The sequence below is a fragment of the Homo sapiens genome, chromosome 3 (genome assembly GCF_000001405.40).
Source record: "Homo sapiens chromosome 3, GRCh38.p14 Primary Assembly".
In the NCBI taxonomy this organism is placed as follows: Eukaryota; Metazoa; Chordata; class Mammalia; order Primates; family Hominidae; genus Homo; species Homo sapiens.
In genome coordinates, this window is record NC_000003.12 from 78,869,126 (window position 1) to 78,895,588 (window position 26,463).

Below are 26,463 nucleotides of genomic sequence, written 5' to 3' on the forward strand. Positions count from 1 at the left end.
AATTCAATGAAATTGAAGTTTAACTATTTACCTTATTCAAATTTTTATCACCGTTATAACCCCAATATTTTTAGGGGTAAAAAATTTGAATTCATCTGCCTCTTTAACTGATCAACTTACCCAGTAATTAAACCTATGTGTAATATCATATGGGTTGACTCCATTTAAACCAACATTTTTTTGTGATAAGGGTTTTAAAATTTTATATTTGCTTTCTACCCACAAACAATACATTTTAAACAAACGTTGATCTTTCTTTATGTATGCTACAGTGAAACAATGTAATGAGGAGTAACTTTAGTGTATAGCTCATCAACATTTGGTCATTCTTTCAAGGATTCAGATGCTTTCTATGGCTTATTTTACCCTGTTGCCAGGCTGGAGTTACAGTGGCATGACATGGCTCACTGCAGCCCCAACCTCTTTGGTCTCAAACAATCCTTCTCCTTAGCCTCCTGAGTAGCTGGGACCACAAGTGCGCCTCCACACCAGGTAAATTTTTTTTTTTAATTTTTGGTAGAGGCCGTCTCACTATGTTGTCAGGGCTGGTGTCAAACTCCTAGGCTCCAGTGATACTCCTGCCTCAGCCTCCTTAAGTGCTGGGGTTACATACATGGGCCGCCACCCCTGGCCTGGCATATTTATTTAAACTACCTCAGCCCCAGTTTCATAATCTCAAAGAGAGAATATTAGTAATACCTTCTTCACTGAATTGTTCTGTGGATTTAGTAAATTAATAAATGTAAACCAGTGCCTGACACATAGTAAGCACTAGAAATTATTGGTGATTGTTACAATTAAGATTAACTTTCACCTCAAATTCTTCCTTAACTTTAAAAAACTTGGATTGCATTTTATAATATGGTTTTCAAAGAACCACCACACCTGGCCTTTCTATAGCTTTTGGAAATAAGTTGATACCATGGCAACAGAAAACAAAATCTTATGGAAAATATAGGTCACAAACTTAAAGCAAAGAACAATCTTATTTTTAAGGAGCATTTTTGTCTTTCATTTGTATTCACTGTTATTTTTCATCTGCACCAAATCTGTATACCACCTTTGTCTCTCTCATGGTTTGTTCACTTGATTTGCCTTAGAGGTCCTGACCCAACCCCGTCCATTTGCCTAAAAGTGACAGAATACCGTAATGAAGTTAAGTTAGTAATAATTCCAGAGGTTGCTGATATTAGGGTTTGTTCTGATACTCAATACTATCTTCAAGCTCCCAGACTCTCACTTACGACTTCTACATGCAAGTGTGTTTTCCATGTTTCCTCTTGTAAGCAAAAGATGAATCCTGCAGATTGAAGCATCTCATTCTCACACAGTATTCTCAGAAGGACAGAAGAGGTTAAGAGTAAAAAAGCATTCTCTTGCATTGCCTTACAGGGAAGAAATGATTCTTACACAAGAATGTCCTCAAAAGGACAGAAATTGGTAGGAATAAAAGGCTTTCCCTTGCACTGCCTTACCAAAAGGAAATGTTTCCCAGAAGCACTAGAACAAACTTCCTCTGTAAACAGGAATCATGGCTGAGCCCATCATCAATGGCAAGGATTTTAAAAGGATTGCGAAAATTGCTGAGCCAATCAGGACTTATCCTCTGGGAGTGAACACAAGGCTTTTGAGGTAATTTCAAAATACTGTTAGCAAGAAAAACCATTGAGCAGAGACCGAGAAGTGTCACAAGCCAACAGTACCTGAATCTTTGGACCTGGCCCTCTACTTAACTTAGCTACATGGCCTCGATGAAATTTTCTTTCCTTTGTTAACCTGTTTCCAGATATGCAAAATAGGAATAAAAATAACCACACATGCTTCATAAAATTATTTTAAAGGGCAAGTAATATATTATATGTAAAGTACTAGGTCTATTCCTGGAATATAGAAAGCACCCAGTAAATTACATTTCTCGTTAGCTGTTAGGGTGCTATCAAAAATACGAGATGCTGCATCACCTCTGTTAAGAAAACCTGCACTTGCTTGTTTGATTCCAAGAGTCACCTTCTGAAAGAAAGCAAACCCAAAGCCATGTGAAGACACTGATGCCCATGCGAGTGTGAATGTTTGGAGAGGGATGGAGAGCGGCACAGGGAAGTGTCATAAAGCCTGGTTTACCTTTGTAACCCTACATATGAGCCCACATTTCTCAGAGCCAGTCATTAGGAAGGTCTGTGGTTTTTCATGTGAGTCAGTTTCATTTTTATTATGTAATTTAGAATACACTGAGCTTTAGATTTTCATCTTATGCTTTAGGTTTTCATCCTTTCTATTGGTTTATTAAATTCCTTTTAAGGGATGAAAAACGGAGCTTTCTGATCTTAGCTCTAATTTCCTACGGCATCAGTTGATTTTGCTACAAGATGATGTTGTGTGTGTGTGTTTTCATTCACAGTGCTACTTAATTTAAATAAGATGACATACATTTTACTATGGATCTGATAAAAATTAGGTTGCTACTTTTGCACAATTTTCTTTGTATTATACTTATATTTTTCTAATTCTGTTTTTACAATGTGTGAAAAGAATGCAAGTTAAATTTTTGAATCTACTGTCCTTTCATAGCGCTCAGTACTAGAAAAAGACATTATTTGCATTTATAAGCTTTCACAGCAAAAAAAAAAAAAAAAAAAGAATTTGTAAAGCTAGGTTTCTGGTTTTATAAAAAAGTAACCAACTAATGAAAAATTTTGGTCTGACACAGACCTATTTAAGAATTTCTATATCTATTACCTAAAAGTGGAATTACCCCACCTATTGCTGTAATATCATGCTGCTGATGCTCAACTATATTAAAACACACAATAAAAATGAAAGAAAACCATCTGTCTTTGCTTTAAATTCATGACCCATCTATTTTAAACACAAGAGCTTTTCTGTCACTTGCTATGTTATCGACAATATGAGACTTTAGGTTGAGTCTAGGTCTCTCTGGGCCTTATTTTATTGCAACTATTTTATAAGATGTGAGCATAAGTTGCCTAGCATATCACTGTTTTCTGAGACTTGTGATTACATATACTCTAGCCTGGGGAATTTTCTGACTTCTAACAAATACTCTTTTCTGTGACTACTTGTTCTGACCATCCCCCTCCATTTCTCCTCAACCCATCCTCCACCAAACCTGACTGATGTTACAGTAAGTAGGGCCACTCCTGGGGGAACACAGACAACCTTCCCAGAACTGCCTGCGTGCTTTGATAGGGAAGTGACTCCCAGCTACGCTGAGTTTGGGGGAAGGCACAATTGTCTGGTTTGATAATCTTGTCTGGACTTTCCAGCTCTGCTCTTGTTTCAACTTCCCCTGCTGCAATCTGAATCTATTCTGGAATCCTAACGGACTGGGAAAGAACAAAAGAATTTTTTTTATTGTTACAAGGTTGATGACCTTCTGTTTGATGTTTGACAGTGAGAAGGATTAGTTTCTTTTCCTAACAATCATTAACTGCCTTTGCAACCCTAACATTGTATCAAACAAGCACAATGAAGAAGAAATTCTGTTTAGTTAAAAATTCAAAATTAAATACAAAGTGTCAGGGAGGAAGTGGGGCAGTGCCTAGGTATTTAAAAGCAGATGAGTTTTCAGGTTGTAACACTCACGTTATCAGTAAGCTCCCTGGACAAATCAAGGCATTTGTCCTTCCAAGGTTTTATTTAATTCAATAGCTTGAGTATAAGAGTTACAGAAATTCCCATGATACTGGTAATTCCCAAAACAATGTTTCTCACTTCAGAAATCTTAAGTGAAGAAATACTTATAATATGAAGTAGTAAGGGTGTTTCAAAAGAATAGGTCTTTGTAAGATTTACAAATTGTAATCTGTTTATATTTCTTACCTCAGGAAAAATAGTACATCATTTACAGTTAAGAAAAGGAAAAAATGCCTGGATTAAACAAGACTTACCTGATAATGTTCTTTCCTTTCTTTCCCTTTGTGGAATAAATATTAAGAATCCCATATTCTATTTTATTTACTTTAAATTCTTTTCCCTCCCAAAAACAGTCTTGGGGGAATATTGAAAACTCACCTCTATATATTAAAGGGTTATGTTTAAGTCTCTAAATCAGTCAGCCTCTCTCTACTTCCTACTTTTCTTTCCTCCTTTGTCTCTCCAAGGGAACTCAGGTAGTTCCGTCAGTCAAAAGGGGATGCATTGTGCCACTGTACTTGGACCTCCCTCTGGAGATATCCAATTTTGTCCTATCTCTTCCTTCGAAAAGAAAATAGATGAGCTGGCTAAACTGTTAGATCTCACTTCTGGATTCTCCACAGAATTCTGTCTATGAATTGAAACCCCAGCTGAAACAACATCAAAAACATGAATTCCAATTTTTTTTTCCAGAGTGATAGTGTATGAACGTGTTTAATTACTTGTCATGTGCTTGCGACCAAGTAAACCTCTTCTTACCTATGAGTAAATAAAAAATACGAAGCCAATTTTGGAAAATATTCCTACAAAAATTTCTAATATTTGAATCATATAAAGGGCTCAATATAAAATTAAATGATAAAGGAATACTTCTTCAACAACTAATACTTACTATCATGTATATTCCTGAGCGAGGTTAGGAAATTTTTAAAAAATGCTTTCCTGGGAAGAAAAGTTGAAGAGTTAATGAATATTCATTTTCTGTGTTCATCTGTTTCTTTTCACGTGACTTTTATTTGGGCCATAACTTTATGCTGGAAAGTTTACACTTCAATTGTCTCACTGAATATATACAGCAATACTATGACTAATATAGTTACTTTCATTTCAGTTTTACAGCTGAGGAAACAAGGACTTTGGAAATCAAGCAACTTGTCTAAATTTGGATTCAAACTCAATTTGTTTCTGTAACCCATACTCCATTTATCACATACCCCCTTGGAAATTTAAAGAGAGGATTTTTTTTTTAATGATATGTGACTTCAATTACTAACCTTAAAGTATGAGCAACGGGCATAAGCAAAGATTTTTCCATCTTGCATTTTCAAAACAATATATTGAATCAGATTAGGTATTAAAATATACTCAATCACTGTATCAAATTGCAGCACTTCTAAGAAAACGAATTTTAGCCAGTGCAAATATACTTAGCAAGCACATAGTAGGTACTAAATAAATGTTTACTAGGCAACTGCTTATTAAAATACACCTTTATTTCATTAATATGCTGTATTATTTTACACACATAAAACTCCATGTTGTGAAAAATGGTGAGGTAAGATAATTTTTTCTCAAAATTCATAGCCTTTTAATAACTTTTTAAAAGCCAACTTAAAACTAATTTTAAATTATATAAAATGTTACCTCAAAATTTGCATTATAACTTATAATGCAAATGCTAATGTATATAATACTAATACACCGTAATAATACATATATTATAGTTACAATATGAGGTCTTAACAACCAGTACTAGAGAGGCTAAAAATGCAGGGGCAAATAAATCTTTGAAAACTTTATGTCATACACTTTCAAGTATTCATTATATTATGGTTTACTTTTGCTTTATACTAATTATTAGCTCAAAAACATTTATTTAAAAAATTGAACTAGAATTTTAAAATATAAAAAATTTAAACTAACAAGTTAGTCAGTTTTACTATTAGCATCAACCATTATAAGTAATTCTTTTCTATAACAGATCAAAATCTCAGTGAAAATTCATAAACCACAATAGTTGTCTCAAATTATTTATGTTGTCAAAATAACAATAAGACTATTGTTACCTCAATAATAGTTACCTCAAAACAAATACCTCTATTCTATTTATTTATTAGATTCAAATAAATAATCTTATATTCAAATTCAACACCCATCTGTTTCACTTTGAGAATGCACAAATAAATGAATCCAGTAACAAATGAGAGCTTCAACATACATTTAAAGATAGAAATCTGAACATAGATGAGGTGTGTAGAACTGTACTGCAATGTTAAACCAAACTATCATAAATCTACTGAAAAGTCATGGGAAAATTAGAGAATTCCAAAACTTGGAAATGAAATTTTTTATTTTAAAGTTCTGAAAAACAAAATCAGATGAGTCTTCAGTCTGTACACAAATGATCTTGGCACTAATTTCGGACTTCTTATGAAGTGATTCATTTTTAAAATAGATTATAAATGATTAGAAAAGGAAAGGAATAATCACTAACATAAATCATGACACCCATTAGGTTTTCTGGATAGTAGATCAGCAATTGTGATAAAAATCAAATGACATGGAGAAAGACTGAGAGAGACAATTAGTAAGCTTGAGAGCAAAAGCAAACTCAACACAATTAAAATAAAATGAAGAAATAAACCATAAAGTCTGGGATCGTGACATTATATAAATGATATAGATAAAATGTAAATTGAAAAACAATGAAGCCTTATAGTTAGGGTAACCTGGTTTCACTGATTACTAACTTATAAAGCTAGAATAGAAAAAAAAATCAATTGCATGCACTCGGAATAGCTTATGGAAATATTTACAAAACGTCCACCAGTCCAAAAAAGACTGAAGAGAGGGTATGTTGCCAACTGAAAACTATCAGAATTCTGGCCAAGTATCCTGGCAGTCTCCAAACATCAGAACATTCATTCAATTTGGTTTTAGGAAGCAAAACGTTACAGAGAGAAGCATGAAAATCTGTCCCACCTGGAGATTAAAAGCAGAATCAAAGTGAAAAATATCAAGCCCTTACCTGACACATGTTAGGAACTAACAACTAAAAGAAAAAGGAGTTATTAGTAAGTCCTTCACATGTATAATCTGTACAATTTAAAATCTACTTTAGTGTCAGATTTTGTTACCTGAAATCAATCATCATTTGCCAAAAGAACTATATCAGCATAGTAAATATAAATCAGGGCTTACTTAATGAAGATTCACCAATAAAGAATGCAGAATTAGTGTGCAAGACTTATTCACATTATAAGAACAGTAAAATGACTAGAGAACACAAAGTGCCAGGAATAGAAAGGAAAGGTTACTCACAGTTATGTAGTCAAGAAAAAATAATAATCTTCAAGGATGAATGATGTTGTATTTTCAGAACTCAAAACTATTTCCATGTTTTGAAAAGTATCAAGTTGCATAGTAACATATGCAAAATTTTCAAAAGAAAGATAAATTTTATAGCATTCAAAATAGTTCTACAGAGTGTAACCAAACATAAACTAGTGCATGGATTTAGAGACAACTATACTTGAAGAAAGAAAATCTTTAAAAAACTGTATCAACTTAGCCATAATTATATCTTGTTTTTATGAAGACCAATTAACTTGATTATGTGTTGTGCTTATTGAGATTGTCGTATAGTCTATTAATAAGTTCAGAGAAGTTCATCTTAAGGTAGTAAAAAATTTAGTAAAAAATTAGCATTTGGCTTTCAAATATTTTGCTACACACGTAATGCACTGCAATTGATACAACTGATGATTGTTAGAATAATAAATTCAATTGATCCAATGTGAGATAAAGTAAAACCACATAAGAATACATGAAAATTCCACATTTAAACCAAATAGAAAGTCAAGATACTCTTAAATAAGCCAGTCACTAATACAGCTGTCCGATGACAACCACTCAACGTCAACACGGGAAACATGGTAAAGAACGTACTGTGGAATAGTCTATAGGAATACATCCTGGGAAAACTCTGCTGTGTTACATTTAAAATACAAAAATACATTTGGTCAAACCAGATAAATACAAGAATAGATACGTGAAGACTCTAAACCAAAGGTGTATCTTTAAAATTCCACTAGATTTTTTTTTTTCTATTTGAACTATTAAGACCCTTTATTCAAAGTGTAATAACATCATTTGGGATTAACTAGGTGTGACTGCATGAGTTTGTTTAAGGCCAATTATTATGTGGCTTGGTGTCTACGACAATCTCTGCACATTCAATAGGACATAAGCAAGAAGTATTATCGCTGCTAGATCCAGCGACCTACAACAGGGCCTGACATGTAGTAGCCAGTGAATACAATTTATTAAATAGATAAATGAAAATTAAAATGATAAACACAAAAGCAATCAATGTTACTGACATTTTGTAATACTAGACTTGGTAATTTGGGACATACATATAATATCCACATTTTAAAGTATAATAAATGAAAAAGAACATAGAAAAGAAATTATTGTGGAGCATTTTAAGACCTCCAAGAATACATCTATTGAGAACAAGAAATTCTGATGTAAAACTAACATTTCCATGTGAAAGAGAATGGAAGGACAATGGAATAACAAAAGAAAGTCAGTGAACACTGTTCTATTCATTAGAACAATTCTCTGATATGAAATAACAACAAGAATAAAAACATCCCTAAAATAAATCTAATTGAATGAAAAAAAAATAGTACATTGGCTTAGGCTGAATTTCAAAAAGAAAAAAAATCAAACAGATATTCAGATATCTTAAGAAATACTTAAGAAAAATAAGTCTGGTATATTTTAAAAAATAGCACAGGTCTAACTTTTAAAATAGTTTAAAGTAATGTGAGCATTATTGCACACTTCTAACTAGATTTTTAATTTTAGTATCTCTCAGACCATTCCTAAAGTATCCCTGTAAACAGAGTTAAAAAGTGTCTTTGAATACAAGGTAAGCCTTCCTGCTTTTCATTCATACAATGAAATATTATTCAACAATTAAAAGTAACATATTCATGGAGGAGCCTCCAATATGTGCTATTGGAGCTGAGAAAAATAAGAGCTGAGAAAAGGTAACATTAGTATAAAATTGTCTCACACTTCTTGAATTTTGTGCCACATTGAAAGTTTTACACCTACTTCAACTAAAAATGCATTTTATTTAGGATTTCCAAATTGGGACTATAGCATATATTTGTGCAGGCATCTGGCTTCCGACAGCCTCTTGAACCTGCTGGATGACGTTTCCTATGCATATCCTCCCATCACCTTATCAATTTTCACTAAGGATTTCTTTTGCTTGAGGGCCATCGTTCTCAATTAAAAATGATAGTACTTTAGGAATGCTCTTGTTTAAAATACCAAGAACCCAACAATACTCTAATGCTGAGTAATCCAGGCTGTCACAATGAAAACAATTTACTCCCAAACCCACCTTCCAGTTCAAACCCAAACCTCAGCAAAACTCCAATGTCTAAATGCCACAGACCTTGCAAGATACTAAAAAGCTGTGAGATGTGTAATTTTAAAATACTGCAGCCAGGCGCAGTGGCTCACGCCTGTAATCCTAGCACTTTAGGAGGCTGAGACGGGTGGATCTCCTGAGGTCAGGAGTTTGAGACCAGCCTGGCCAACATGGCAAACCCCGTCTCTACTAGAAATACAAAAATTAGTCGGGCATGGTGGTGGGTGCCTGTAATTCCAGCTACTTGTGAGGCTGAGGCAGGAGAATCGCTTGAACTGGGGGACAGAGATTGCAGTGAGCCGAGATCACACCACTTCACTCCAGCCTGGGCAAAAGAGTGAAACCCCATCTCAAAAAAAAAAAAAAAAAAAAAAAAACTGCATAATGGGCACCTGTATTTTTAACTACCTTGGAAATAACCAGCCAAAATAAAATAGACAAGTTACTGTCTCAATCATAAAAAAGTTAACAGTATCATACTTAAGCTAAATAGAGTATGTGAAGCAACTTATCTATCTAAAACTCTCATTTATTTTCAAAAACCACAAACAATGCAATAGGAAACTCATAGGAGATTCTGTAGACCAAAAGTTGAATATCACCTTTTACAGTCTAGGTAAAAAGTACCTACTTCCCTATATAGTTAGCAGATGACAATAAACAAATAAATAAATAAAATAGTGCAATTACAAAAACCAAAATTTTAAAGTGCATACTTGGATATTTTGTGTCAATATTATCCTTTCAACGTGGGGAAAAATTAGTCACTGTATTTGTTGTTGCTGCTCTTTGAACTTGTTCACTGTCTTGCTCCTGCAGTTGTCTGCTCTTTCCTTAATTCACTGTGTTCTACTATACTTCTGCCTAAAACATTTTAAACTAAACTAAATGGTATGTGTAACAAATTTTTTGATTTATGCTAAGTTGGACTTAATAAATATTAATAAAGCATATAACTAAAAACTGGATGCAGATATTTATAACACAATGATATTACACGCAGGGTTGAAGACATGAGAAAGTCTCATTTCTCTACCAAAATAACTCAAATTTTAAATCGTGTATACTGGATCTGAGTTGATATATGTGTGACAGGGAGCATGTGTATGTCTACACATATATCATGCCTACAAGCTGACTGCACATAATGACATCATCTATTTATATTAAATTTCACATATTTCCACTCATGGCTTGACCTATATACGAGGTTAGGCAAATATAAGCAAAACTGAAGTAGCATTTTTTATCTTATAAAAATTCATGAACATCATTACCACATGCTTTCATTCATTTAAAAAAAAAAAAGAACTAAATACCATCTGTGTATGATAGCCTAATTAGGGGATTAGAACCGCAGACGCTTTGCTGGCTCACATGTTCAAGCACATGCCCCTTTGACCATTTCAGGGAAAAAAAAAAAGAACAATAAAAACGTAGTCGGAAGCATCCCTCTGGATTCCGCATTGACTCCTAGCGTTAACTAACCCCACAGAATTTAGCTGTCTGCACTCCCTTTGGGAACTGGCTCTTGTTTTTCCTTGATGTGCATGCCTGCCCCAGCACAAGCCTTAGGATAAACTTGGCATCACATGAATTAGGTTTAAATAAGTTCAAACAGCATTTTACAGAAGACTTGTATCTAAAGTCTGCAACACTGTAGGGACCATTGTTTCCTAGATTTGATACCAATAATAGAAAAATTAATAATTCTAAATTGGTCTGAAAGAAAATAAATGAAAGACAATCATTACTCCACAGTGATATATAATGTATACATGACCCTACATAATATGTAAAATAGAACCTGTAATACCTATTAAAGCACCATGGTAATTTTGGGTCTATTTATTCTAGAAGCTCAATTAATGAAACTGAGTTCATATAGAAAAGTCAAAACACATCTCATTTATTAGGATTGCTTTTCTTACCTTAAATTCCAATAAAATTAGCATGCTAAAACTTTAAACTTTAAAGACCATGTAATTTAATATGTGGTAAATCCTACCAGTCCTACCAGTTAGGATCAGAAGATTGACTCCTACACAGTTATTTAAGATGTTAACAATTAAATATGTCCACAAAACAAGAGCAGTGAAATGTTGCTGTATTTCATAACCAGAAAGAAATATATACTTTGTAGATTAAAAGGTTTTCAACTTAGAAAATGAGGCTAATGAATAAGCAGGAACCCATCGTCACTTACTGAATAGGGTAACTTTTTGTCCTCCCCACAAGGCACAAAGTTAAAAAAAAATTAACATGGTAATAATAATAATCACAGACTCACTAATTGAAAGAAAGGAGTAAATCAGTTAAGCCACCCAAATTGTTACAAACATACACAAAGAAAATTGTTTTACATTTAAAATAAAATGCAAAATGTCAAGAAAATTGCAAATTTAAATGGTGCCACAACCAGGCCGCTGCTCTTTGAACCATTAGGCAGTTGGAGATCTAACCCTTTATCTGCTTTTTTTTCTATTTCAGTTCCAATAGTGCTCCATAATAGGAGTGACCAGTCTGCTAAAGAGCAGCTATTTATGTCACAGTTTCATAAGACAGGTCTATGTCCAGCTGGAAATAACTTCAGGCATTTTCAGCCCAAACCAGCTCTGTATCTAGGTCTGTTCAAGTAAAATTGGGTCTACACAATTTCTCCACATTCTGATCCAAAGAGAAAAGAAGCCCTCATTTAAATATAGCTTAGAAAATCTGGAATTACATGCTATTCTTTCAGTGGTCAGACCCTGATAGTTATGGACTAGCGTATTCTCTTTGGATTCTGGAGGCCATTTCTTATGAATATTGGCTGCCGCAACAATTTCATATTGTCAACAGATGCGGGGATGCTGCTTATTCAGCTCAGTAGTGGTTGCCAGTAGAGGCTCAATGCTTCAGGCTGCAGCAAATTAATCCCAGCAGAGATGAGTTTTATTTGTTTCTCTAATAGTGGGAAGAAATATTGATGAGAGGATTCTGAGCTGTACGAAGGAGAAGAGACTGCTGGAAATTTCACCAACTCATTTTAGCATCTCCAAGTTGGTGGGAAAGTGTGTTACGGAGCCCCTCTTAAGTCCGCATTCCCCTTAGGGCATTCACCTCATAGACTGCGCTTTTCACAACAAACATTCAGTTCTTTGTTCTCTGTTTACAGTGAAAATGGTTAGTCTCATGTATGGAGATATTTATATCTGGCACTAAAAAATTTGAAGAAAACAATAAAAATGCCACAAAAATTGCAAACAGCAACAATTAAAAGCATTTTTCTTTCATTGGCTAATTTTGAAGAGTATGGTTATTTTTAGACACTCAGCATCTTATATAAGTACTTTGTTTTATTGAATTTAACTATGATGAGCTAATTTCCCAACAAGAGCCACTATTTTTCATATTCTTCTCTTACTTCCTATTGATAATTCTTCCTCCACAGAAATAAAAACTGGCAGATTTTATTATCGACTGCATCAGGCCCGTGGCCTGATACAGCAACACTCAAAGGAAAGGGAGAGGCAAGGATGGAAAGAGAAATACTTTCCAGTTGTTTCACTAGAAATTCCTTTTAAATTAGCTTATGTGCATCCAATAAGATCAGAGTTATTCAATTTTGTATAAGAATTACTAATTTAATATTATACTTTTAATGGACATGGCCTTAATAGATCAAATGGAAAAAAATACATAGAGGTTATGAATTTTAACTCTGCAATTACTGTTAGATGAATAGTAATAAGTAACACATGGATTTGAGGGTAAATTTTATGTCATTAGATGTGATGTTTATGTACCTTGGAGCCTTGTTTCTCCATTTTTTTAAAAAGCTAATAGTATGTAAAAAAAAGTAGATTTTGGATACCTTTTCTTATTTTTTATTTTAAAGTTCCAAAATTCTAAATATTACAAATTTAGGAACAGTTTTATATATTTAAAAATAGTAGAGATACAGGGCTACATTTGGAGAAGGTGGAACAAGAATGGCCAATAGAGTCTAGTATGAATGCTAAATTTTCTGTTCAATTTCCTGGATTGTAATTGTAAAAGGCGTCAAGAAATTGATAGTGAAATGAGGCCACTACAAAACTAGAAAGTAGTAAGTAATTTTTTTCTAAAACGATAGAAGTTGGATTATGTATTCATCTGCCTTACAAAGACCATGTGAACCTCCTGCACTTTCACAACGCCACTGTGTACTGCCATCCCTTATGTTTCCGTTCTCATCTTCGAGATCACACCCTTTCCTACTTCAAAATACAACAAGCTGTTTTGAGCTGACATTTTGAGCATAAGGCCATCATGCTGAATGAAATATCTGCTAAGTATTTCTTCTCCACTGCATCTTTCTGTCACCTCGGGGATCATACATGTTATCCTCTTTCCACATTTTCCAATTTCTGCTACTCAATGTCAGTATATCCATCCTCAATTCCTATCTCTCCATCTTTCTCCTTTGCCTCCAGGTATCCCTCTAATGTGTCCCTGTCATTTATATATTTAATTCGTTTACTTATTTTTACCAACTACTTGGGGAAAATATTTCTTAGCTCCTTTACCTTCGGGATAACACCTCTGTTCTTCCTAATCTTTTTTTTTTTTTTTTCTGAGCCTGAGTCTCACTCTATTGCCCAGGCTGGAGTGCAGTGGTGTGATCTTGGCTCACTGCAATCTCCGCCTCCCAGGTTCAAGCAATGATCCTGCCTCAGCCTCCCAAGTAGCTGGGATTACAGGCATACGCCACCACACCAGGCTAATTTTTGTATTTTTAGTAGAGATGGGGTTTCACCATGTTGGCCAGGCCGGTCTTGAACTCCTGACCTCAAATGATCCTCCTGCCTCAGACTCCCAAAGTGCCGAGATTACAAGCATAAGCCACTGTGCTGGGCCATTCCCAATCTTTTCTCTCATCTTCTTCTCTACGGCAGAAGCACTGAGACAAGTCGTTGTGTTTAGTTTCAACAGATTTTTGTTTTATTGGGCATTGGTGCTCAAGGTTTTAATTTTCTAATTTCTGTTGGTAAAAAAAAAAAAGTTATGTAGGTGGCACAGAATTTAGTATACTTGTAAAATGTACTGATATTTCCCCATGACTTCCAAATGCTTCTTTACATCAATAATCACTGACCTGACTACACCTGTTTGTCTTCAACCACATGAGACGCAGATATGTATTATAAACAGGCTCTCACTCTGTTGCCCAGGCTGGAGTGCAGTGGCATGATCAAAACTCACTGAAGCCTCAAACTCCTGGCCTCAGGCAATCCTCCCACCTCAGCCTCCTGAGTAGCTGGGACTACAGGTGCATATCACCATGCCTGGCTAATTTTCTTAATTTTCTGTGGTGACAGGGTCTCAAACTCCTGGCCTCAAGTGATCCTCCCACTTTAGCCTCCCAAAGTGCTGAGATTATAGGCATGAGCTACAGTGCCCTGCTAAACATATGATATTTAAATTATGTACTATTCTACTATACTGTTAATAATTTACTATATAGTATATTTTAAATATAGTATAGTTTTTGTGGGTTTGCTCAAGAGTCCAATATCCATCTAAAGACCTACTTTCTCTCCTATCTGACATCTAAAGTTTTTGAGATTTGTAGAGTTTAGATCTAGAAGAGATTTCAGAGTGTAACACTTTTGAGAATGAGAGGCCTGAAATTCAGAGAATAAAAGGGCCAGCCCAATGTTTCACTGCAAAGCTAGGATGGGGGATTATGCTGCATGTGCAAAATCAGAGAGCCTGATGCAGCCCTCATGTGTGGCCAGAGTGTGCCAGGTAGTTTTGGACTGCAAGTGAACAGTGGGGAGAATGCAGATAAAAGGAAAGGCAAAGGTGAGCTCATAAGGGACTTTTCCTGTGTATTGCTGACACATGGTAGCCACTCAATACATTTTTTAAAAAATGAACAGTTAGATGCCAAGCAAAGGAACATGAATGTTATTATACAGCTAATGAAGAATCACTATAGGATTATAATGAAGAGAATGACAATAACAGACCTGCATCTTAGAAATTAGTTACAGAAGCAATGCAGTGGAAAATGGATTTCTGTGAGATGTTACTAAAAGCAAGAAAGCCAGTTATCAAATAGCAATAGTCCAGGCTGGGTGTGGTGGCTCACGTCTGTAATCCCAGCACTTTGGGAGGCCAAGGTGGGAGGATTGTTTGAGCTCAAGAGTTCAAGACCAGACAGAGCAACATAGTGAGAACTTGTCCTCTGCAAAAAAAATTCTTTAAAAATCAGCGAGGCATGGTGGCACACATCTGTCATCCCAGCTACTCAGGGACTGAGATGGGAGGATTGCCCCTCAAAAAAGAAAGAAAGAAAGAGAGAAAGAGAGAAAGAAAGAGAGAAAGGGAGAAAGAAAGAAAGAGAGAAAGAGAGAAAGAAAGAGAGAAAGAAAGAGAAAGAAAGAAAGAAAGGAAGGAAGGAAGGAAGGAAGGAAGGAAGGAAGGAAGGAAGGAAGGAAGGAAGGAAAGAAAGAAGGAAAGGAAAGGAAGGAAGGAAGGAAAGAAAGGAAAGAAAGAAAGAAAGAAAATTTAATAGTCCAGATAAGATATGATAAATTATTCCTGGATTGAGATAATAACATAAGGAAAAAGAAGAAATAGACTCTCTCTCTCTCTCTCTCTCTTTCTGTGTGTGTGTGTGTGTGTGTGTGTGTATTTCTCTTCTGTATGTTCTCATCATGAAACTCAATTGCATTGCTTTGTACGAAGGCTGCATGTTTAAGTCCCTCCCTTATACCACTCTAACCTGACCTCATCTGTAAGATGTCTTATGAAATAATCTTCACAAAGATCAAATAATATCATTAAGAATTCTGAGCATTCTCACTATGCAGCCATAAAAAAGAAGGAGATCACGTCCTTTGCAGGGACATGGATAGAGGGCTAGAGGCCATTATCCTTAGCAAACTAACACAGGAACAGAAAACCAAATACCACATGTTCTCACTTATAGGTGGAAACTAAATGATGAGAATACATGGACACATAGAGGTAAAAAACACACAGTGGGGTCTCTTGTGGGGTGGAGGGTGGAAGGAGGAAGAGGATCAGGAAAAATAACTAATGGGTACTAGGCTTAATACCTAGATAAAGAAATAATCTGTACAACAAACCCCCATGACATAAGTTTACCTATGTAACAAACCTGCACTTGTAACCCTGAATTTAAAACTAAAAAAAAAAAAAAAAAAAAAAAAAAAAAACTGAGAGTTCTCAAAAATATTTCTCTTGAAATAAAAGTTCCCCAAATTCCATTTGCCAAATAAGAAATTTCCATCTATGCAAGCCAAAGTAGTTATATTGGTAAAGTAATAACAATAACAATAGCAAGAACACTTGACACAGAAATATATATATTTATGTGCCAGGGAATATTCTACATTGTTTTCATGTATTAACTCATTTAATCCTCACAACTATATGAGGTAGATACTATTATTACCCTCACTGTATATTAGTAAATGTGACACAGAGAGGTTTACTCACATGTGTAATAGCAGACACCTACAAAGATTCAAAGACTAGATTTGAACTTCATCAGCCTGACTGTAAATCCTACATGGACTATTTAATTTTAGAAAAATTATGTTCATACAACCCTGCCCATTTTACAGATGAAGAAATGAAGTAAAATGGCATTTTCAAGACCCTACTACTGATAGCAAAATTTTATATATATATATATATATATATATATATATACATACATATATATTTTTTTAAGTAATTAAAGATTCATTTGAAGAATAATATTACCTATACATGAACAAGTTTATATTTTTGTAAAACGTCTTCTAACATTTGATATATGACTTTATCTTTTAGCTTTGTTTATAAAAAAACAACATCAAATAGTTATGTCAAATATTTAACCAGTTATGCTTTTCCTACAATAAAGAGTTAAACATGAGTAATCAAAATTATAGTATTTTAGAATATATATCTTTTAGGAGGAAGAAACAATACGAAAATAAGCTGATTAAAAGAATAATACTTATACTTCGAGGCTTCTTAACTCAATTTCATATATCGCCAACATATTTTATCAGTTTTGTTCATTAAAAAATTGTACTGTGGCCAGGCGCAGTGGCTCACATCTGTAATCCCAGCACTTTGGGAGGCCGAGGCGGGTGGATCCCGAGGTCAGGAGTTTGAGACCAACCTGACCAACGTGGTGAAACCCATCTCTACTAAAAATACAAAAACTACCCAGGTGTGTTGGCGCATGCCTGTAATCCCAGCTACTCAGGTGGCTGAGGCAGGAGAATCACTTGAACCCGGGAGGCAGAGGTTGCAGTGAGCTGAGATCACACCATTGCACTCCAGCCTGGGTGACAGAGTGAGACTCCATCTCAAAGAAAAAAAAAATTGTACTCTGCACTTGTAAATTATGTTACCAGAGTAAAGAAAGAAGATGCCTTTCAAAAAGCGTTCAGTCAATAAATTATTATTACATATACCCATATTTATGAATCTCCAAAACATAATGTGGAATATATGAAGCCCCATTGAAATAATACATATTATATGATTATACTTATACAAAGATAAAAAACCATTAAAACTAATATAACTAATATATGGTGTTAGAATTCCAGGTAGTATGACTTTGGGAGAGACACGAATGGATAATGATTAAAAAGAGCTCCAAGGAGATTCTGAGTTGCTGGTAATATCCTGCTTATTATTCTGCATACTAGTTACATAAATGTGCCTAATTGTTAATAACTGTTTAGCTATACACCTTTAGTTATGTAATTTTCTGTATGCATATTTCAGTTAAATTTGTATTATATAAGACATCCATCAATAATTAACTTAGCAAATATTTTGACCACCTTATTATGTCAATAATACTGTTCTTAGTATTGAAGAAAGAAATTAATATGGATACAATAAAATTAAAATCAGAACTTGGAGAGTAAAGGAGAGAGGAAAGACATGAGAAACATACAATGTGGCATGACGGCAGCAGGTTGGCTTAGGAATGCTGTGAGTCACACAGGCCTTGCATGAAAAATTTGCACCATCACTTCTTAGTTTGGGACTCATCTGTTAAAAAGGGCTGTTGAGAGGACTGGATGAAATCCATTACTAGCCTTGAGTCTACAATAATTCTCTTGCCCCTCCAATGCTCTATAAAGTTGCATGCACATGTAAATGAAAGCTTAACATAAGCTATAAAGATGTAGAACAGTTATGAAATTTAAGAAGATTTCCCAGAAATGACAGCTGAGCCGATACTTAAAGCATGAGCTAAATTTCATCAAGATGATTTCAGGGGGCATCACATATTTCAGAAAAACAAAAGATCACAGACAGAGTTATAGAGATATTTAAGTCCAAGGATACTTAGTAGCATCTGTAAGTATCCCTGGAGGAGAGGAGTGAAGAGTTGCAAAAGGGGAAGCCTAGCAGGTATGTTTAAACCACATGGTGACCAGCCTCATCTACTAACGAAGGGGTGTTTTGCTTGGCTTGCTTCTATCCCACAGTTAAGTGGTGTAACATAGATATGTTAGGCTAACCTGGTTGCTTGAGATCTGAATAAAATCAGCTCAAACCTCCCTTCTAAGTCAAATCCTAAATAAAGTTTTAAGCCATATCACTGAATCCTGCTTCAGCAGTTGTGGTTTCTGTTTCATATTGCATCACCAAGTATGATACTCAGCATCTCCCCAGGTTTTCACAAGAACACACCCTCAAAAAAAAAGAAAAAAAACCTTTCCAGAAAGCATTTGTGAGTTTAATGCTCTTAATCCTCTTGTCTCACGAGTGAAAAGATCATAAGGAAACTGCATTGCACAAATGCATACAACTTCCAATTAAACAACAGACATTGTATTTCTTAGAACACTGCCTCACATCCAAGGGAATTTGAGGACAGAGGAATTCATTCCTGTTATCAGTTCATCCTTTCGAGAATGCAGTTTTGATCAATTAAAAGTTTCCGACAAAGTCAACTACTGAAAAAGTATTTCTCTAGATAACCTTGTATTTGATTAATCACAATATCCCAATCCTGATATTAAAGTAAAAGGAGTTCTAATGTAAACCATTTACTACTGGTTAGCCATTGATTTACAAAGTTGGAATTGTTATAGGTATGAGTGTTTTCAATATTTAGGCTGATCACGGGAAGGTGGAGTTTAAACTATTGAGCTACTACAACAAAGCTACTGCTAGTCTTCTGTGGTTAGAGACTTAAAATATCTAATGTTTGTATTCTTAAAACAAGCCAGATTTCAGAAATTCATTTTCTTGCTCGAAATACACACAGACACACATATACACACTATTTTTAGAAACTTAGTTAAAATTAAGTAACCATTTCAACCTTAAAATGAATATCGTCAGCAAACAAACGATTATAGAAGTCCTTTCTCTACCTTAAAACAGTAGTTCTTTACATTTCATAAAACCCTCTGGGTTGCTTTTTTGTCTTGACTTCAAAGAGATATATAAGCTTAGATCAAGTTTGCAGTGGTATACTGCATGATGAGAAATGAGTCCTGGCTCTGTTTCAGGTCATGGTGATCCAACCTCCAAAAATACTAAAAACTGTGTAAGTCTTATAAAAATTCCCTCTAGTAGCTGTAAAATAGCTAGCTATTACATTAAGATTGATTTAAGATATATGAGTCATTTGAAAAACTAACTGTTCACCTTTGGTTGGATGTTTTTGTATGTCATACTGAATATAAACAGAATGTAAACAATGGGTCCTCTAAAAAGTACAATACTACAGTTCTCTTTTAGACAAGATGATGCCTTCTGTAGAAAGATACACTCTCTTAAAGGCAATACAGAGAGCAGGTTTCAAAGAACATGATCTTACCTTCATAGATGCTGCAATTTCAAGAGTGAAACTATTAGGACACATTAAGAAGTGATCATAAATGAATTCAATATGAAAATAAAATGTGTTGATGCTTTGGTAAAATATTGTTGTTGTTTCCTTGTTCTATAGTTATATTAAGCAATTTTCCCCAATATATGTTCATACATGTTTAAAAAATGAAGGATGAGCCAGGACAGCACAGTTTCTCACATATGCCAGAGGAACATGTCAGGGGAACCCTAGAGGCTACAAACATTCCTTCTTTTCAAATTAAATTACATTTGCAAGTTTACTGTACACAGAATCCTAAAATTAAACTAAATCCACCAACTTGACTTTTTTAGAGAGCCGTAAGTAGGAAGAAAGCACACATGTGCGTAAGGGTACACTCATAGAAACGTGATTTTCATTAGCATAGACACAGTCTTACAGTGATTGATGCACACATGATGTTTCTTCCTAGTTAGGCAGAAATGCTAGAAGTCAGCAATTTGGTGGAAACAGAGACTGCCATGTGTATTGCCAGTTGGGCAGCTTGACAATATGGGGTTTTGATTCCTGCTTGTGAACTATGTGTTCCTAACAGCACAAGCCTCATTTGGGTGGAAGGAATATAGAAAATAACTCCAAGAAAAAAAAAAAAAAAAACGAGTGGGGAAAGTCAGTCAGTAAAAAAGGATATATTTAGAAGTACGTGAAACTTAAAAATTAACAATTATAATACAGGATCCAAAAGACACTAGACTGGAAGAAATAAATTTTTGATAAAAATACAACTTTCCAAATTAATGATACTAAGACAATACTCGCCGTTGCTCTTCCATCTCCCTGGCTCCCTCAATTCTGTCAAATTGTACTCAAATGTCACTCTCTCAGCGAGGCCTGCCCTGACTCTTCTAAACTGGGACCTCTCTGTCTCTATCCCACTGCACTCCCTATGCCCTCTTACTCCTTGACTTTCCTCCGTAGAGCTCATTACCATCAAACATGGCATATATTTTGCTTAAGCTCTTAATAGCCATCTTTTTCCCATTACAGTATAAGATTTGTAAGGACAGGAGTATTTTCAGGTGTGTTCACTGCTGTATACTCAGGATTCAGAAATTTCATGGCCAGACTAGGTATTCAATAACCATGTATAAATAAAGAATTCTGCTACAGACTGAATGTTTGTGTCCCTCCAAAATACATAAGATAAAGTCCTAATCCTCAATGTGATGGTAGGTGGAAGTGAGTCCTTTGAGAGATAATTGGGGACAGGGTTAATCCCCTTATAAAAGAGAAAGAGAAGTGATTTCTCTCTCTGCTTGTATGCACCAAAGGAAGGTGAGGACATAACCAGGAAGAGGGCCATCATCAAGAATCTGACCACGCTGGAACCCGACTTCTAGACTTCAGAACCTTGAGAAGTAAACGTTGGTTGTTTAAGCTGCCCAGTCTATGACAATTTGTTATAGGAGCCCAAACTGATCAGCACAAACTCTCACTGGTGAAAATGGTAAACTGGGAAATAGCAAAAGGATATTTTTTTGTCCATTAAGACATACTTTGAACTTACTTTTTTAGTTGTATTTTTAATTATCGGAATACTTTACATGTTGAATACATTTATATTAAAGATGGTTATGTTCCTGTGCAATCTAAATAAGTGGCTTCATTTCGTGTTTTTATTTGTTTATTGACTTAATTTATTTAATTAGAGCTAGGATCTCACTATGTCACCCAGACTGGAGTGCTATAGCACAATCATAACTCACTGCAGTCTTGACCTCCTAGGCTCAAGTGATCCCCGTGCCTCAGCCTCCAGAGTAGCTAAGATTACAGGTGTGTACCACCACGCCCAACTAATGTTTTTTTAGACATGGAGTCTTGTTATGTTGCTCAGGCTGGCCTCAAGCAAGTCCTCCATCTCAGCCTTCCGATCTTTCCTTTTTTATATTAAAACAGTAATTTCCACCCTGAGAAATAAAGTTTTATTACACAAGAATGTTAGGAGAAAACAAGGCAGGGACAGGTTGACACAACTATAAAGAATGAGTCAAAGAGATGTGATTACATTACAGTTTCAGTAAGGTCTGAGTAGCTTAAATTAGACCACCCCACCTGCAAGTAATGATTATATACAATGGAAAAAATACAAAAACTCTTAGAAGGCACTGGAGAGTGACTAAAAACAATAGGCAAAAGAAATGGAGAGGCTACAACCTTCGGAGAAGGAAAATCTTGGACAGACATTTCGCAAAAGATATAAGAATGGCCAATACGCACATTTAAAAAAAATTCAACATCATGAAGCATCATGGAAACACAAATTAAACCACGGTGAGAGATATCTCATATCCACTCAACTGCCTAAAGTAAAAAAGAATGATGACACCATGGATGGCAAAAATAGAAACAACCCTCTTCCACTGCTGGTAGAAATGGTACAATCACTTTGGAAAACTGTCTGGCTGGTCTTTTATAAAGCTAAACATATACTTAAGACACGAGTTAGCAATTCCACTCAAAACTACCCAAAAGAAATAAAAACATATGTCCATAAAAATGCTTGTATGATAATGTGTTAGCAACATATTCATAATAGCTGAAACTGAAAATAATCCAAGTGTCCGTTCGTACAAGAATGAATAAACAAATTGTGATATATTCATACACATAGAATTCCACTCAGCAATAAAAAATGAATGAACTATTGATGTGTGTAAACTCATAGATGAATTTCAAAACGTGTTAAGTCAAAGAAGCCACATCAAAATAGCATAAACTAGTGATCACATTCATATGAAGCTAAAGAAAAGGCAAAACTAATCTGCTGTGATAGATGTCTAAACAGTGGTTGCCTCTCAAGATAGGGATTGACTGGAAAAACTAATGAGGAAATTTTGGAATGATGGACATGTTCTATTTCTTGACTTGTGGTTACACGGGTTTGTGAGTATATTCACCAATAGTCATTGGATTAGATACTCCATTGTATGTAAATTTTACCTCAATAAAAAATGCGGGCCGTGCACGCCTGTAATCCCAGCACTTTGAGAGGCTGAGGCAGGCAGATCGCTTGAGCTCAGGAGTTTGAGACCACCCTGGGCAACATGGCAAAACCCTGTCTCTACAAAAAATACAAAAATTAGCATTAGATTCTCATAGAAGTGCAAACCCTATTGTGAAGTGCACATGTGAGGGACTTAGGTTGCATCCTCCTTGTGAGAATCTAATTTTCCCACCCCATCTGTGGAAAAGTTGTCTTTCATGAAACTGGTCCCTGATGCCAAAAAGGTTGGGGACCTCCGGGTTAGAGCACGGACTCTGGAAGAAATACCTGGTGTGAAAAGCCCAGCCCTGATTGGCCAGATTATCACCTTGGGCAAGTGATGTAATCACTGTAAGCAGCATCTGAAATGGAAATAATATATGCTGCATTGTGATGTGTAGAGTAATTGTAGGGATCTTTACAAAGTGTTTAGCACAGTGAGTGTTAAGAGTAATAATAGCTCAAGAAGTGTTTATCATCATCATCATCATCATCACCATTCAGAGTTCCAAATGAAAGGCTAAAGAGTCTCACTTTAAATCAGTTGGGATAAAAGGCTGCAATATTTTTGGTAGGTGGATCAGTGAAGAAATACTTAGTTCATGTTTCTGAACAGTTTAGTTCTCTTAATTTTTATGCCTAAAGGGTCAATCTAGATATATCAAGCCATTTCTAGTTGGCTTCATATCATTGATTTGCCTGATATCATTTATATAAAATCAACTACATAGTCACAGGAATTCCTTTTCCCATTCCACTCTCAAAAGATAAATATCGCCCATTTCCTTAAAATTCAGGACTCCTGGTCCTCTCCTCCATCAGGTAACCACTGCTGACCTTTGTTCTTTCTCCCACTTTAGTCCCCTGGATTTCAGGAAAGTGCAACCTCATACTGGCAGGAGGAAAGACCTCTCCCTTCTCCCATCCCATTGCCATCACACTGTGGTAAGCACAGCGTACTAGGAGATTTGTTCTTGACATCTCAAGATAAAATTCTGAATGCTTTTGTCATAGATTCGTTGCTAGGCTTCATGTATTGTGCTGTGGTTTGAATGTGTCTTCTCCAAAATACAGGTGCTGAAATTTAACATCCAATGTGATAGTATTAAGAAGCGAAGCTGTTATGGGGTGATTAGGCCATGAGCGCTCCTCTCTATGAAAGAGTTAAGGCCCTTGTAAATGAGACTTCACACAATATTCCATTGGCTCGCCCTTCTGCCTTCTGCTATGTGGAGGAACAGCATTCCTCTCCTCTGGAAGATGCAACAATAAGGTGCCGTCTTGGAAACCCAGAGCAGCCCTCAACAAGTAACCAAACTGGCTGATGCCTTGACCCTAAACTTCTCAGCCTCTTCAACTGTGAGAAATAAATTTCTGTTCCTTATAAATTACTCAGTCTTAGATATTTTATTGTAGCAGCACAGACTAAGACATATTGGCTGTTTATTAATATTAATTCCATATCTTATGTATAAATATTAGCTAAATAATTTTCCTAAGCAGATATAAAAATTAATCACTATAGATTTTAATGAGGAAATAACGTCTAAGTTAAAACAATGCACTTGTATTACACTTTGTGAATAAACTTCTACTTTATAAATAAAAAATGATGGCTTTTTTTCGAATTTCATAAAAGTAGATGCTTTTCCACAGTAAAAAAAAATTGATTTCTATAAAGACATTTTTATGATAGATTTTCCTCTAGGATCTGGTACTAGAAACTTCTCTCTTTTGAAAAGCCATCATGAATTAGTATAGGAAAGACCACAAAAGGCTGCTGCTCCTTTCTTCATTCTGAATTTTGACATATTTGCTTTCCTTAGCTTCCCTATTCATAAAATGGGAAGAATTAATCTATAAAACTTCTTGTAAGATTTCTGAAACACCCAGAGATAAGGTTTTGCCAGAAATGTTTCATCTTTTCAACGCTTAGCCGAATCTCAATTTCCTTGGCTGAAAATGAAAAGAATTTAGTTTTTCTTAAAAAGCCAAAAACCACATTAAAAGAATATATGGTTCTAACGGTGGGAAAATAGATTAAAAAGGAACATAAATTAATATCTCCCTAAGCCAACACATCATTCATTTTCAGAGATCATGTGACAACTACAAAAATTCAAAGCCATGAAAAGCAAGTAAAACAGCAATTAATGTGTCATATTTATCACTATGTTATATATATTTCTACTAAATTTTAAATCTAAAGAAATGAAAAAACCATAGGTAATTTACATTTTAAAATAAACAGTACTGAATACTTTTCAAATACCTAATATTTGTTCACCTTTTTAGCAAATTATAAAATGTCCTCAGATATTAGATAAAAGATACACTAATCTGCTTTTTGAAATCATATTTATATGTTTAATGTATTCATGAACAACTTTTAAAACAGAAAATGTGTTTTCTAGCACAGCTAATGAAACGAAGACCAATAACAAAGATGAAATAAAGAAGAAGGAAAAATCTCATATACATGTTTTGTCTTAAAAATACCTGTCAACTACTGAAAAACCAATTAGGTTAAAGAAAAAGAAGAAATAATACAGCAGAAACAAATTATCATTGAAATCCACCAAAACTTCCCAAAATAAGAATCCGTGCTGTTCTGCCCATTGTGGCTGCCATATGTGGCTGCAGGAATCTCCGAAGACAAGAATAGAGTCTTTCAAAACTTCTGATCATATCCCTGGTTTAGGCCCACCTCAGGCAGCCTAAGATTCTGTTAATCAATTAGCTGAGGTCCCTGCTAAGGCTAGAAAGAGAACACTGTAAGCAAAGAGGCTGGAGCACACGGAACAAAGCTATCTATTGCAGTGGATGAGCTTTTCTTGTGCATATGCACACTGGCCATTGTTCCATTCTTGAAGAATCACATTAATCAATGTTCAGAGGCTGCACCTCCAAAACAGAGAGTTGGCTGTTCATCAGTGATTTATTACAGAGCCCAACATGCATTTGACATGAAACAAGTTGAGAGTTTGGAAACTGCCACTGGAGGGGGAAGGGGAAGTATAATTTGGAGTGTGAAGGGTGCTAATGCAGACACAAATCAGTTCCCTTCAGCGGTCAGAAAGATACTGCTGCTGACAATTAGGGTTACAAATATCCAGGCTTTCGTTGAAGACCAAATGTATTATTTTGGTCAAAGAATAAATGCAGAAGCTTTAAACATAAATAGAAAAGAAAAGGGAAGAAAAGAGAGAAAGAAAGAGAAAAAAAGTAAAATTCAAGGGGGAGCAGGTTGTAATCAATTTTAAAAGGCCTTGTTGTTTTTCAAAATTATTTAAGTTTTTGAACTAAATCCTTGCTTATAGAATATATTTTGAAATGCTATCATTGGAAAGAAAACTGTACCTGGCCATTGCCTTGTCAAGTGCCAGAAATTATAAATCCAATGTAAAATTAAGCATAAATGTTAAAATCACTCCATTGCACTAATTAAATATCCTCTTATTTAACTGGATGACC

General features: G+C 35.1%; 1 protein-coding gene across 18 annotated transcripts in view, besides 1 other annotated feature; it reads right to left on the bottom strand.

The window, feature by feature from the left end:
- The window catches only part of ROBO1 (roundabout guidance receptor 1), a 1,170,760-nt gene that overhangs the window by 271,887 nt on the left and 872,410 nt on the right, over positions 1-26,463 (bottom strand). The gene's annotated exons all lie outside the window — the stretch shown is intronic.
- Positions 6,774-7,068: a silencer, noted in NCBI's record as "tiled region #6803; HepG2 Repressive non-DNase unmatched - State 23:Low". NCBI's record gives its function as "represses a minimal TATA promoter and a strong SV40 promoter by Sharpr-MPRA in HepG2 cells {active_cell/tissue: HepG2}" and the evidence as "EXISTENCE:reporter gene assay evidence [ECO:0000049][PMID:27701403]".